The sequence below is a fragment of the Homo sapiens genome, chromosome 16, assembly GCF_000001405.40.
Source record: "Homo sapiens chromosome 16, GRCh38.p14 Primary Assembly".
Classification (NCBI taxonomy): Eukaryota; Metazoa; Chordata; class Mammalia; order Primates; family Hominidae; genus Homo; species Homo sapiens.
In genome coordinates, this window is record NC_000016.10 from 55,863,144 (window position 1) to 55,878,786 (window position 15,643).

The 15,643-nt window shown below is 47.1% G+C and overlaps 1 protein-coding gene across 3 annotated transcripts in view; it reads right to left on the reverse strand.

Moving 5' to 3' along the window:
* The window catches only part of CES5A (carboxylesterase 5A), a 109,878-nt gene that overhangs the window by 16,990 nt on the left and 77,245 nt on the right, over positions 1–15,643 (reverse strand). For 2 of the 3 annotated variants that reach the window (NM_145024.3, NM_001143685.2), the window contains exons 1-6: positions 12,006–12,230; positions 10,690–10,894; positions 8,482–8,620; positions 6,468–6,601; positions 2,820–2,973; positions 205–309 (exon numbers count right to left, since the gene is read on the reverse strand). In NM_145024.3, the coding sequence (NP_659461.1) occupies positions 205–309; positions 2,820–2,973; positions 6,468–6,601; positions 8,482–8,620; positions 10,690–10,894; positions 12,006–12,078 (810 nt within the window). In that variant the 5' untranslated portion in view covers positions 12,079–12,230. Of the gene's footprint in view, positions 1–204; positions 310–2,819; positions 2,974–6,467; positions 6,602–8,481; positions 8,621–10,689; positions 10,895–12,005; positions 12,231–15,643 lie in introns of those variants that run through there. The other variant, NM_001190158.1, reaches the window with a different exon arrangement.

Below are 15,643 nucleotides of genomic sequence, written 5' to 3' on the forward strand. Positions count from 1 at the left end.
ACACCAGTGGTGTGGCATTGTGTAGCTAGACCCATTTCCTGTTGAACCAGACCTTTCACGGAGGAACAAGGTTCACCTTGGGCCAGCATGAGGTGCCTTGGGCATGGTCACTAAGGAAAGCCAAACACATGGTGAGAAGGTGCCTGACCACATTCTCTGCTAACTGAGGAGAGGAAGGTGGCAAGGTGTTAACAGTATACGTACGTCCTCACTCTTCTCATAATCATGGGCCTCCAGGTAAGGGATGATGGCCACCCCACTCTCCATGATGGCTTTGTGGAATAAGCCTTTGGCCATGGGAGACAGTATCTGGAGAGAGAACACAGAAGACCCAGGAAAGGTTACTCCCCACCAACACACATACCATTCATCCCTCTTCAAAGAAACCTTCCCAGGAAGCCTCCTTAAAAGCTCTAAGCTTAGAGGGGAAAAAAGCCCTGGTTTAGGGGTTAAAGGACTAGCTGTGAAGGTTTGGGCAAGTTACTCAACCTCTCTGAGCCCCTGGTTCTTCATGGACTTTGATGTCAAATGTTCAGGCATGTGATTTCTAGCTCCTTCACTTTCTACCTAGGTAACCTCGGACAAGTTGCTTAATATTTTTTTATTTCTTTTTATTTCTTTTTTTTTTTTTTGAGATGGAGTCTCGCTCTGTGGCCAGGCTGGAGTGCACTGGCGTGATCTCACCTCACTGCAACCTCCGACTCCCAGGTTCAAGTGATTCTCCTGCCTCAGCCTCCAGAGTAGCTGAGATTACAGGTGCGCACCACCACGCCCAGCTAATTTTTGTATTTTTAGCAGAGACGGGATTTCACCATGTTGGCCAGGATAGTCTCAATCTCCTGACCACTCACCTCAGCCTCCCAAAGTGCTGGGATGACAGGCGTGAGCCACCGCACCCAGCCAAGTTGCTTAATATTTCTAAGTATCGGTTCACTCCCCTGTAAAACTGGAGTAAAAATTTAGCCCGTATCACAAAACTGTTGTGAGGAGCAGGGGAGGTAATAAACATAGAACTCTTCACAGAGGTTCTGGTCAAATTTTGCTCATGAAATAATGGTTGTTATAATATATGAAAAGTTAGGTTAATATAATCCACCTTAGAAGGTAATTTTGAAGATGTAAAAAGACCACATATATTGTCAAGTGCTATTCAGCAGAAGCTCTCTTAACTCACCACCATGTTACTGATTTCTGCAATTAACCTGCCAACTGATGCCAAGGAAATGCTGACCATTCTGAGCCAGTGGACCATTTTCTAACACCTCTGTACATTTCTCTTCTCACCAGTTTCTTGCCAAGAATCAGGTGTGTTTGCTTCCAAACCTGTTTTGTCAATTTCACTTGTTATTGTAATTACACAATCAATGAAATATCATGAGAACAAATGAACTGTATGTGTACAAAGAAAATCAAATTATGTCTGGAAAAAAAATTCTTGATAAAGGATGGCTAAAAAAATATTGCTGTCAGGCCAGGCATAGTGGCTCACGCCTGTAATCCCAGCACTTTGGGAAGCCAAAGCAAGAGGATCACTTGAGCCCAGAAGTTCAAGACCATCCTGGGCAATATAGCTAGACCCCATCTCTAAAAAAATTTTAAAAAATAAAAAAAAAGAATTAGCTGGGCATGGTGGCGCATGCCTGTAGTCCTAGCTCCTTGGGAGGCTAAGGCAGGATGATTGCCTATGACCAGGAGTTTGGGCTGCAATGAACTATGATCGCCCCACTGCTTGCCAGCCTGGGCAACAGAGTGAGAACTTGTCTCAAAAAAAATATTGCTGTCACCGGACACGGTGGCTCACGCCTGTAATCCCAGCACTTTGGGAACCCAAGGTGGGCGGATCACCTGAAGTCGGGAGTTTGAGACCAGCCTGACCAACATGGAGAAACCCCATCTCTACTAAAAATACAAAATTAGCTGGGCATGGTGGCACATGCCTGTAATCCCAGCTACTCAGGAGGCTGAGGCAAGAGAATTGGTTGAACCCAGGAGGCGGAGGTTCTGGTGAGCCTAGATTGCACCATTGCACTCCAGCCTGGGCAACAAAAGCGAAACTCCATCTCAAAACAAAACAAAACAAAAAAACCATATATGTGTGTGTATGTATATATATAAAATACACTATACAAATATATAGATATAGATATAGATATATAGATAAACATCTCTCTATTTATATTGCTGTCAAATTGTGTGTGGACAAGAAAGGAGTAAAATATTTGCAGGAAAAGTATACAAATCCCAAATGCGCTAAAGTCAGACTGCTTTGCAGGCATCTTTAAGTTTGCGCCCACTGTAAAGAAACTGAAACTGCAATTTGAGGACAGTGAATTTTGCAGGTGGTTTATGCAAGACAATCCATGTTGGAAATCGAGTCAGCAGACCAACTCTGCAAACATAAGGCCCTGTATCAAACTGTTGGTGAGGGAATATACATTTTATGGTTTAAATTAAAATAAAATATTTACATGTATCTTTTGGCATTTCATGTCTTAGCTGAGTTTCCTATTAAACAAGTGATTACCATTCTGGCAATTGAATACTAGGGTTTCTCCTCTACAAATATAAGGGATTTTTCCTCAAATTATTACTCACTATGTGACCTTAGGTGATTTATTTAAACTTTCCCAGTGACAGCTGTCCTGTATGTGAAATGAGACTGAGCCCCTAACTCATAATGTGTTGTGAGGCTTGAAAAAGACAATGTGTATTAAAGGGTTTGTTCAACATGAAGGCAACAATCAAATGTTAGTGACTCATCATCATTTTTGGAACCTCCGGCACTGAGATTCATTCAAACCACAAAGCAGAGAACTCACAAGACTAGAAACACTTATGGCTCCCGCGGACTCGCCAAAGATGGTCACAGAGCTGGGGTCCCCACCGAAGAACTCGATGTTCTTCTGGACCCAGGACAGAGCAGCCACCTGGTCCTTGAAGGCCCAGTTCCCCGGAGCATGCTGATCCCATGTGCTGAGGACAAGAGGCAGGGTGAGAATTCTTGGTCAGCCATGGTGTGTTTCCCACAGCCCTGGAAGTTCTCAGCAGAGGCTGTGGGCAGGGGTCAGTGGGGAGGGGGCGGAGAGTCAGAGGCCTGGAGGAGCTGGGGAAACCGGACTCAGTTCTCACACTTTGCTGAGATTTGGATTTCTTTGAGAATTTGATGAAAGCTATGCACCTAAGAAAAATGCACATTCAATATTGTAGCTGCAATTTCAAGTATTCACAGGTTCCTCAGAATCCATGAATCCCAATCCATGAATCCTGTGTTGCCCAGGCTTGTCTGGAATCCATGAATCCATTCCTGAGAGGTGATCTGTACTAGAAAGCAAGAAGTTTCCTGGGCACAGAATTTTCCATGAAACTAAATTAATAGTAGTCACAATAACAATTAACAGGCCAGGCACGGTGGCTCATGCCTGTAATCCCAGCACTTTGGGAGGCCGAGGCGGGCAGATCATGATGTCAGGAGATCGAGACCATCCTGACTAATATAGTGAAACTCTGTCTCTGCTAAAAAAAAAAAAAAAAAAAATACAAAAAAATTAGCTGGACACGGTGGCAGGCGCCTGTAGTCCCAGTTATTCGGGAGGCTGAGGCAGGAGAATGGCTTGACCCCGGGAGGCGGAGCTTGCAGTGAGCTGAGATCATGCCACTGCACTCCAGCCTGGGCAATAGAGTGAGGCTCTGTCTCAAAAAAAATAAAAATAAAAAAATAAACAAACAAACAAAAAACAATAACAGCAGCTGCAGCATGTACCAGACACTGTTCTAAGGGCTTTAAGGCTAATACTCCTACAACCCTCACACCTATGAGGTAGGTGGTGCTGGGTTTTCTCCCTTTGCTTTTTTGGGTCTTCTCCACCCTTCTCTGCTCTGCCCCTCAAAAGCTGACCTCTAGGAATGACATCACCCAGGCCTCAGCTGTGTGCCATGAGGGTGGGCTAGAGAGAGACTGCGATGTTTATCCCCCAACCCCGTGCTCCCTCTCTGCTGGGAAGTGTTTGGGCAGAGGCTGCTTTTCTCCACAGCAGCAGCTCATGCCAGCTCCCTTCCACTAAACCTGTGAGCCTGCTGTCAGGAAACCAACGGATACATCAACTCTTTAATTCAGGCACAGAGAGGTTAAACCCTCTTGCCCAAGAGCTAGAAAGCTGCAGTTTTGGGATCCCACACCCCCATGCTGCTGCCCCTGCACAATTGCATGTTTCCCGGGATGGGATTAATGAGAGAACAAATGAAACAAGTGGAAATGCCATAGAACCAAAGAAATGTCTAGACCGAAAGCATGCATGCAGTGCACGTCACCCTGGGGCACATTCTACTCCCCTCCATTTTCCAGTTCTCCAGACTGCTCCTTCCCCTGGGTCCCCTCCACTGTCTATGACCACTGAGCTGGCTCTCACTCCACCTTCTCTCTCCCAGGCCCCTGCTCAAGAGTCAAGCCCTGCCAATTTTACCTCCATTCTACTGTGGCTCCCACCCTGGTCCCCATTTCTCCATCTCTGTTTATCCTGAGAAGCATTATACCTTAGTGGTTACTATCTCAGCCTCGAGCACAGGATTCACAGCCTGGCCACTTATTATCTGGGTGACCTTGGGCAAATCACTTAACCTGCTTTGCCTCAATGCTTCTCATGTCTAAAATGGGGATAATGATAGTGCCCACTCCACATGGTTGTGAAGATTGACAGTGCCAGGCAGAAAATAAGCATGTCATATTCACGTTATATACATGTTAGCTATTGCTTTTGTGGTTGAATGACCCCATGGCCTGCATCAAGACAGTGCCTCCCAGTGGGGCTCCCTATCTGCAGCTGGGCACCCCTGGCTCAGCCTCCACTCTGCTCCAGAGTGAGGTTCCTGGTACACTACTCTGTGAAAGGTACTCCTGGTCCTCAATCTGTGTTGGATAAAGCCAAAACTCCATGTATGGCCTGGCATTCAAGGCCTTTCCCTATCAGGCCTGTCCTTGCCTTCCCGCATCCATCTCCTGCTGTAGCTTCATCTACCTATGATCAAAACCAGATACGATAAGCAATTATTGAAAGCTCTTCTACCAAAGGAATCTTATGCAGAATCCTAATATATAGAGCAGCTAGAAGTGTAATTACTCTGGTCAGGGCACCCCGTCAGCCTCTCCTGCCTGCAAAGCACTCCCAGAGCTACATTCCAGGGCTACAGGCCCAGTGCAGTCTGCAAAAGTATTGCTTCATCCCCATGTGTTGCTACCTCCCTCCCAACTTCCTAGTTTTTGCACAGGTAGCACCCTTTGCCAAGCACATGTTCTCTGAACCCCTTCTCCTCAAGCCCAACCACATCCTTCTGGTGCAACTCCAATGTCACCCCTCTCTGAAGCCTCCCTGATCCCTTGCAACTCCCTCCTCTGTTTCCACAGCTCCATGGCCTCTCACTCTTGGAGAATTAACCATGTCCTTCTTGGTAATGTGGATATTTTTGTCCCTGCATTATCTCTCCCATAGTCAGGAGCCTCTGTAAGGCAGGATTCATATTTGAATCATTGCTGCCTTTACCATAGTATGTGACAGTGACCCGCAAGCATAATCCTGGCCCCACCTCTCACTTCTCCTCTTTGTTTACATTGGACCCTCATCAGGACTTCTCCTGCCATGTCTTAGACAGGATAATAGAAGCAGTCAAGAGACCTAGCTCTGTTTTGTGACCCCTGGGAAGTTGTTTGGCCTCTCTGGGCCTCCATTTTCCAGCTGTGAAATGAGAATAACAACAGAGAACCTTCCTTGAAGGATTATTTTGAGGGTGAGTTGAAATAATGCATGGCAAGTGCACAGCCCCATGGCTGGTTCAGTGAAAGCCCAGTACATGTTAGGCCTGATTGGAGGAGGGAAGCCACTGTGATAGAGTGATGATTCTCAGGTGAGCATTCGAGAAGACCTGGGGTGAGGCTCAGGTAGACACCACCGACTGCTCACACAAACAGTGTCCTGTTCTTCCAGGGCACACAGTGGGGCTACATGGCCCCAGCTCGCTTGCAGCTGGATGTGGCCATGTGACTGAGTTCTGCCAATGGCGAGTGAACAGAAGTGACAAGTGCCACCTGCAGGCTGGGCCAGGAGACCCTCCATTGCATGATCCTCCATGCTGTCTCGGTCCACCCACCAAATGCAGAAGATCGAGGCCCTAAAGAATCCACATCAGAGCTCAAGATGTGATGAGCCAGATCCCTGGTTGACCATGAGGAAGAATGTCTGCCGATCAGGGATGCTCAATTAAACTTTACCCAAGTGAGAAAGAGATTTTTATTGTTTCAAGCCACCAACATTTTGGGATTTATCTGCTACAGCTGCAAAAATTACCTAAGTAATTAGGGCCAGTTTTGTTCATTGTCCCGGAAGGCTCGCTCCTTCTTAGGTTGCTGGGCACTGTCTATGGCTACTGCACTGCTGCCCTTTGGGGATCTGGGATGTCCATCATTTGGAGAGACTCACGTGAAGAAACCAAATATTCCTAGCCGGTACTGGACGACCACAACCAGCACGTCCTCATAGGCAGCCAGGGCGGACCCATCAAAGATGGAGGCTGAGCCAGTCTTGAAGGCACCTCCTGGGAACCACACCAAGACCTGAGGAGGGGAGAAGAGCATCCAGTCAGCCCACCAGGCACCACCTCCCCTCCCCATGCAGTTTGAGGCACACGTTCTTAAGGTGAAATATAAATGTCCCACTTGCTAAGCAGGGTGCGAGGTTTTGTCATTTGAAGAAGGCCCAGGGTTAAGCATGTGGGCTCTGGCACCTGAGTGCCTCGATTTGACTCCCAGCTCTGCCACTGACTAGCTGTGTGACCTTGGAAAGATTACTTAGCCTAAGGCTCATTTTTCTCATCTGTAAAATGTGAAGAAGGAAAGTATCTCACTTATGAAGTTATCATGAGGTTTAAACAAAATTCTGCATCTAAAGCTCATAGAACAATGAGCAATAGCACATTTCAAGTTTCAAGTGCTCAGAAATTGTTCACTAAATACCAGTGAGCCTGTGACCCACGGGAAGATGGAAACCATTGTAAGCCATGTATAAGAGCAAAAGCAGCCCAAGGTGTTTCAGAGAAAAGCTCTCTACCTTCAGAAAGAAGAGAGGAGGGGAGGGGAGAAAAGAGGAATGGAGGAGGTGAGAGGAGGAGGGGGAAGAAAAAGAGGAGAAGGAGAAGAAGAAAGAGGAAGAGGAAGGGAGAAGGAGGAAGGAGGAAGAGGAGGAGGAGAAAGGATGAAAAATGAAGAAAGAAGGAAGAGAAAGAGGAAGGGTCAGGCACAGTGGCTCACGCCTGTAATCCCAACACTTTTGGGAGGTTGACGTGGGTGGATTGCCTGAGCTCAGGAGTTCAAGACCACCCTGGGCAATATGGTGAAAGCCTGTCTCTACTAAACAAAAAATTAGCCAGGTATGGTGGCAGGCACCTGTAATCCCAGCTACTTGGGAGGCTGAGGCACAGGAATCCCTTGAGCCCGGATGGCAAAGGTCGCAGTGAGCCAAGTTTGCACAACTGCACTCCAGCCTGGGCAACAGAGCAAGACTCTGTCCCAAAAAAAAGAGGGAAGAGTAAAATTTTTATTGATTAGAAAAATTGGGATCAGGGAACATAAAACATTCAAATGGCATTATCTTTATTTATATATTTAATAACAAATCCCTTCCATTCTCTTTCTTAAGGTCATATTAGAGATTACAGCCTTCGGGGCAGGTAAAGAGAAGAAAGCCACTGAGGAAAGGGGAGGTGGACAAACCTCTGGCTTTGGTGCCAGAATCTAGTGCCTACTGTGTGTACAACATGGAGCAAGTCACTTATGCCCTTCCTGTGCCTCGTCTTCTCCATCTGTGGAATGGGTCCAAATCGTCCTTACCCACTGGGTTAGCATGGGAGTTAAATCAGATCATGTACTGTGCCTGGCACACAGCAAGCATTTAATAGACATTACTGTTATGATACAAGACAGCCAGTTTCCCCTGGCAGAGGCATGAGGAAGAGAAGAGGATGAGAGGGTGTGGCTAAAACATAGAACATGCCTTTCCCCCACTTACTGACACGGGGATATTTTATATTCTTAAATGAAACACTTAACATGATTACCTGACTGTCTTCATTATAAACAGAAAAGTTGGAGGATAAAATTATTCTTTTTGAAAAAAGATACCTCAAATTTAAGAAAAAAGTCAGATTCCTTTTAAGCAGTGTCTTTTCTGAAAGCTTTCAGGTCACTAAATACGCAACAGAGGGGAAAACAAAACAAAATAAAAATTAAAAGTTAAGGCACTGCCAATAAAGAATCAATCAGAAAAACTGATCATGTGAATCTATCATTCAAATGATTTTTAAAAATTGTTGATGTGATTACATTTCCCTTTTACCCAACAGGGGGTAGTTCCAATTCCAGACATGTAGCTGCACTGCCTGGATCCCAGGCCAAGGTCCTGCTAGCTAGAGCCCGAAGCACACAGCAGGCAGCCTTACGGGGAGCTTGGAGCCTGTATCGGCGTGGGCAGGCGCATAGATGTTCAGGTAGAGGCAGTCTTCTGACACTCCGAATTTCGGGTAATGCACCTTGAGCATATGTTGATCTAAGAGCAGCCACTCTGAGTTCTGGAGGCACCTTGGAGAAGGAGAGGAGAAAACCCTCAGAAAAAGTTATCAGCAAACTTGCCTGGGAAGGGCCAGTTCTTCTGACAGCGGGGAGGCCTGGCCGTCTCCTCTGCCTGAGCAGAAGAGGCAGCTACCGGTACAAAGTCCAATCATGCCCAAACCCCCATGGTTTCCAAAACAAACAAGCAAGCAAATTATAATTCTCATTGATCTGGTTCCTGGGTAGGAAAGCACATGGTGTAGAATAATTGCACCATTACCCCCACCACCCTCCCATGCCTACACCACCCTCCTATGCCACCACCATAATATAGACACACATAACGACCCAAGCTGGCCCAACAATTCCCCAAACTGTAGAGGGCAGGACATAGTCGAATAACAAGGGCTTTGCCCCTGCGGCTCCCTATTCTGTCCCCAGATGCGCAAAGGAACATTTCCAGGCCTCTCTACCTGGAACCACCCAGGATAGACTGGCAGGGAGACTCCTGCACCCAGGCTTTGCTCAAGCCGGGCCCTTGCCTCGACTGCTCTCTCCCTGTATCTGCGTGCTCACATTCTTCCCTTTGTTTTAGAGTCACTCCAACTTGCCACCTCCTCCCAGAAGCCTTCTGAGATTTCTCCAGTTCTACCATACCTCTTCTTCGGAAACACCCACCTACTTTGCATTCTTTTCCAGAACTTGTCCTGAGGTTGTGCGTGTGCATTATCATCATCCCCAGCTCAACTGTGAGCAGCTAAAAGCCTAAGACTCTGTTTTAGTCACCTCTGTACCTCAGAGCACCAGCACAGAGCATGATACACCGTAAGATTAAGCAAGGCTGTAAATGTGAATGCTTCTACCATACTGTGTACGCAATCAATTCTTAATAGAATAGTGTGCAATATTGCTGCACGTCTTCTCCTGACAGGTGTTTATGCCTCCTTGCCCCTTTGTATGTTGTTGATCAGGCCTCAGCGCTTTCAGCAAAGCCGTCTCTGACCTCCCATCAAAGCTAGTCCAGGTGGGTCTTTGTTTCCCCTCAGCACCCTTCCCTGACACCCTAATGGTTGCCCTTGCCATCTTATATTTTAGCTGTCAATTACTGTTTACGTTCCTGCCACCATCACCCCTCTCCATGCTCCATGATGACAGCTGTGACTCAACCCCTGCGGCGTCCCCAAGCTTAATGGAGAGCCAGTTATCAAGTTGGTTCGCAATGAATATTAGTTGGATGAATGAATGAACGCACAAACAAATGAGTTTCAGCTTGATGTCCTCAGTCCTTGGACCACATGGGGTCATCTTCTGTGGCTTAGGGAATATCCTGGCACCAGAATTTCTTCTGCCAGGAACCCATGTGGCCCAACCTGAGAGCTTGACAGAATCTAAAGAGTTGGAAGATTCTAGGGGATTTTCAAGTCTCACTGCCCACCCAGTAAGTCTCACCTCACCCCTCCACAATTAACCTGGTAACTGGTTACCTAACCGAGCTTGGAAATCTGCAGTGACCAGGAGCTCCTTACCTCCCAGAGTCCCTGCGTCACAGAGACACATCCACATGTTCATTCCACGGGTATTTATGGAGTTCACCATGGACTAGGTATTGCATCAGGCACCGTTTTGACAGCTGGAGCTAACACCCTTCTAGTGTGGTTCTTCTCAATAAAACCCTCACCCAGTCTGACCATAGAGCCAGGCTTGGGTGAGAGGTCACAAGAAGATACCTAGACAGTCCCTTCTGACCAAAGGACTCAGTACGCCCATTTCAGCACTTCTAAAAAAAACTGGCTGGTGATCAGAGTCTCTAAAAAGCGTTCAGATAATAGTTTCCTGGGCTCAGCTCGGGATATTCTGATTCAGAAAGTTCAGAAGGGAGCTTGGAGAATCTGTATATTTTTAAAGATGCCTCCAGTGACCTGGCCATCAGCCAGTTTAGGAGTCAGGGGATTACCAAACCACTCGCCCGAGTCTCAAGCCCTCTCTCTCCCTCCTCCCCCATCCATGCCAATCCCTCTTCTTTCACACTGGGCTGCATGACCTGAATTCCTGCCACTCCCAGAGTCACAAACCACCCGTGGGCCCGAACCTGGTCTTACAAATTAGGGTAGGAGGTGGCTTCTCGCAAGTTATCCCAGGGCGATGCAGGCTGCGGGTTCGTAAATCGCAGGGATCCCAGCGGGGGAGCAGCAAAGGGGACTCCGAGGAACACGTTCACAGGCACAGGGCTTCCCAGCACAGTGACTTGCTTGCCCTGAATCCATCCCAGCCTGGTGTTCCTCTGTGGCCCTTCAGCAGAAGGCCCTGCGGGAACACATGGGAGGAATCAGGAGCAGGCTGGGGACAGGCAGGGCAATGGCCCACCCAGTCTGGAGCTCCCCAGTGGGGATGTGCTTCCTTCACTCAGAAGTTGTGCAGCTGGTGGTATCCAGGTTCCCTCTCCATGAATCCAGTTCCATGGCTTTTTCCAAGATTGCTGTAGAAGTCACCCCCATGAAACCACTGACTTAGTTTCTCCTAGGAGCCCAGCAGTACCTAGCAACAAAATTTTCCCCCATTCACTCAGAAACCCATCTCCCTTCTGCTGAGAGCGCTTTCTTTCTACAGGATTGACATATACCGAACTCTGTAGATCCTGGGATGCCACAAACTCATCTTCCCAGGGGTTCCTACACTTCTGTCACTCCACACCCTCCAGCACCACTGCTGGCATATCTGTGCAGCACCTGCATGATTGCTGGCTTCTTTTTTTTTTTTCTTAAAATTTAATTCCAATAAACTCCTTTTAAAATTTTACCTAGAAGAATTCCAAGTAATGACATTTATGGAATTGTGATTTTGGTGAGTTAGGTATATGCTTTTGAATACACATGAATATTCATGGGTGAAAATTTAAAATTCTCATGCAGATACTTCCTGAAATCAACTCGTCTACTTCCAGGAGCATAAAGATGGCACTTTGGGAGACTGGGCATGCAGGGGTCTCAGTCACCACACAGAACGTGGAGCCTTGGGAAGGAAACTGCCCAGCTACTTACTTAGCAAAACCCGGGTGTCTTAGCACTGTTTCTAATGTCATTTCATTACTGAAAGTCCTGTCGCCGCAGCCAGGAGTGCAGAAGCACAGGCTCTGTTCCTCACGCTTCTCCAGTGCTCAGGATGGAGCCCCTCTAAACCCCTTGCAGGGTGTGAGCAACCCAAAGGCAGAACCAGGATCTTCTGTGCGCTACCCACTCCCAAGAAGGAAGCTCTGGTCCTAGGTTCTCGGCAACAGCAGAATACTGATGCCATCAAAGTACTACATAGCTCTCCACTGGCCCTCAGAGACCTCTGAAGAATAACTTCATTTCTACCAGTGGAAAATCCTCACCCACCCCATCTTCTGAGAGCCCTCCTTTCCCATTGGATATCTCACCTTTGGTGGGGGCTGCAAGGACCCAGATAGCCCAAATTAGGATCTGGCCTGGGTGCACCCAATTCCCACTCATTTGGCTGCCTGCCTGCACTCTGTGAACATTGACGGCGGCTGCTGGCCTCAGAGAGCTTCAGTTGGGAGCCAGAAAGAGCTTCCTGTTAACAGGCAAATGCTGAATAGGCAGGCAGAGGCAGCAGAGTTACTGAAGATCAGCATCAGAACAATATTCTCAAAGGAATTGACTAAGCAAGACTTTCCTGTTCTGATTTACATAAGAAGCTGATGATTAACTATTGAGCTGGGGAAAGATAATTTGATAGGCTTTGGACTTCCGGGATGGGGGAAACAGAAAAGACATTCCAGACCAGGCAAGACATTTTAAGATTATGAGTTCTAGAGACCCAAGGATGAATGAGGTTTCCAGACCTGCCTGTGATGCCAGAAAGACACAGTGCAGGTCAGAGAAGCTGAGAAGTTTCTGAGAAGAGGAAGAAGGTTGCTGCTGGGACAAGCGAGTGGCTCTGAAGGCACAAGCACTGCCAGCTCAGACAAGCAGCCCGGCTGGCCCTGCCAACAAGAGTCTTCAATGGCCATTTGGTCTACAGCCTCCTTGGCAACCTTGAGGCTTCTTCGATTATATTATTTCCCCTCTGGCCCTTCATAGTTGCCACCGAAAAGATTCTCCCTGGCCTTCAAATCTGTCCCTTCATCTGACCAGAAATATTATCAAGTCTGTACACCACTGCTCACCCAACTGTTTTAAAGCACTTCACACAAACTAGCTTGTTGCCAACACCACCACCCCCATTTTGGATGTCTTTCTTCTCCAGCTTCTTCTTTAAAATCCAATTTAACTGCCACCTCTTCCGAGAACCTTCCCCTGATTCTCCTGAACTTTTTAGTGCTTTGCTTTTCCAACCTCTCTTATTTTCTAACAAATTGTAGCCATGACTGTCTTCCTCCTTGGAGTACACCTAGGACTTTTCCATGTACATATTCATCACAGCTTCTTACTTGTGCCCTGTGGCTTCCCAAAGCTCAGCCCTAGACCTTCTGTCTTCACAATTTGTACCATTCCCACTACCAAATTGACTATCAATTTACTTGATTTTTTTTCTTTAAATTGACATTTTTTAAAAGCTGTTATTAAAGAAAATTGTATCTACCTAGTGCAATAAGAAAGAGCTTTTGGGAAGAGCAAGCCAATATATGTTGCATTTCTATACCACAAAACATTCCCTTTGCCTCTAGCAACCATTACAACGAAAGGGTGGTGTATGGTGGAGAAGATCCCCAAAGTAAGACAAACAGGAAAATCCGGCCTTTCTGTACAGTGGATTTTGGAAAGGAGAAGGGAACAGAGGTAGGGAAAGCATGTGTGATGCAAAGTGCCCTGACTCCCCCTCTTAGACATAGGTCCTAAAGGGATACAGCGATGAGGTAAAGTGATGGGGTGCAGTGATGGGCTGAAATGTGTGCTAAGGATGAAAAGTGTGCTAAGTAGTGAAGGGTTCTCCAGGAGGATAGTGACAGAAGGGTTCCACATCTCAACCAACCTGGGGCAGCCACAGCAGAGCAGAAGTGGTTGGGCTAAGAGAGATCTCAGGGGGTGGTCCTATTTCCCTTGGATCCCAAATTCCTTGAAATTGATCCAGACATCACCGTGTGGCTTCGAAGAAAACTTGGAGGTGACTACCAACCTGGCTGGGAGCTAGAGGAGGAGGAAGGCAGGGGGCTACAGAGATGCTTCATGGACTCGAGAACAGAGTGAAACCACAACCTGGCCTGTGCTGGAGCACAGTGTTGAGCACTGGGCAGGGTGAGGTAGGGCACTGAGTCAGTCAGGGGGAATCAGTGGGCTTTGATCAAGATGAGAGGACAGACCATGAGCTCACCACTTAAGAATTCATCCTCCTCCCAGGAACCCCGGCAGTGGGACATTGCTGTGGAGACCACAACAACGCAAGGACTTCTGCAAGTGGGTCCAAGCTCCCTCTGCCCTCCCACTCATGTGGTCCTATTAGCATCCCATAACTCACACAGCCAGACACCATCTTGGCAAGGAGTGCGGGTGGGGTGGGGAGCAAATATGAGAGGCTATGGATTTATTTGAAGTGATTATGCTATCTAAAGAAACTGTTTAAATTACTGAATAGGACTTTACCAGATTGAGTTAGATGTAATTGTCTATCATTAACCAGAGAGGCGAAGAATTCTCCTTGCTAAAAATGGAAATTAACAAGCATTACATGTATACATATGTGTGTGTGTGTATATATATATATGTGTGTGTGTATATATATGTATGTGTGTGTGTGTATATATATATATATATATGACATGCTATAATACCACCAAAGTCTTACTCTTCCACAAAATCAGAATGCAAAGAGAACTATAGAGGAAATGGTTTCCTAATGAAATGTCTTCTATTTGCTGTTCTCTCTAGGTACCACTTCTGTCGCAGGCCCCTAATGCACAGGACCTACTCTGTGAGGAACACTGATAATGTAAGGAATCAATGCCTCTAGACTTCATTTATAGGATGCCTTACAGGTACCAGACCCTGGGCTAAATGCTTTATTTGCATCTATTACCTAATTTAATGTGATTAGTCTCATTTTGTAGATGAGGAAACTGATATTTTGCAAGGTAGGATTACTGGTCCAATATCACAAAGCTGAGAAGCAGAACAGCTGGAACTAAAGCCCAGGTTTCCTGCCCTCGAGCTGCAGGCTTTGCAATTCGGGGAGGAGGGAGTAGGAAAGGAGCGGCAATAGAAAGATCTGGGAGGATGTGCTGGCTTCTGCAGTTATTGGGCCATGAAAAATTACTCAATCTTCTAGAAAGCTGAATAACCACTTGACATCACCTCCTTGGACCTTGATGTCCCCATTAGTAGCACAGGCCAGTGGCCTGGATGGCCCCTGGGAGACACAGACCTTTGATAGGCTCTCCCTGTTCTCCCAGATTGCTCTGCTGAAACCCTGAGGGAGAAAACCAAGATGAGGGCTAAGGGCTTGTTCTTTAAGCAGCTTGGCTTAAAACATAGGTTAATCTACCCCTGCTGATAGGTGGTAAAAATCAAAGCCCACTTTTGAATTCTCATAAAGGGAGGCTAAAGGAACCTTGAAGGTACAAGAGCAATGGCAGCTGCCTCAGGGTGGAAACCAGCCTGTAGGTGGACAAAACAAAGGAGTGGTGCTCTGGTGCTGGAATCAGGTCACCGGGCAATGCCCCACAGACCACACATGGACCCACAGCTGGGAAGCCTTAGAGCTTCCATCTCATAACCTGTTTCTCCAAACACCTCTCACATTCATATTAAACCCAAACATTTTAACTTGACCTTCAAATCTTTTCTCATCTGGCTCCATTCTACAATTCCAAACTAATGCCTCATTGCAACCCCACTGCTACCCCATCACTGTACCCCCACCACTACCCCCACCACTGCACCCCATCACTGCACCCCACCACTGCACCCCATTTCTACAGCCCATTGCTGCACCTCATCTCTGCATCCCACCACTGCACCCATCACTACACCCCATTGCAGCACCCCATGACTGCACCCCCACCACTGCACACCACCACTGCATCTCACCACTGAACCCCATCACTGCACCTCCACCATT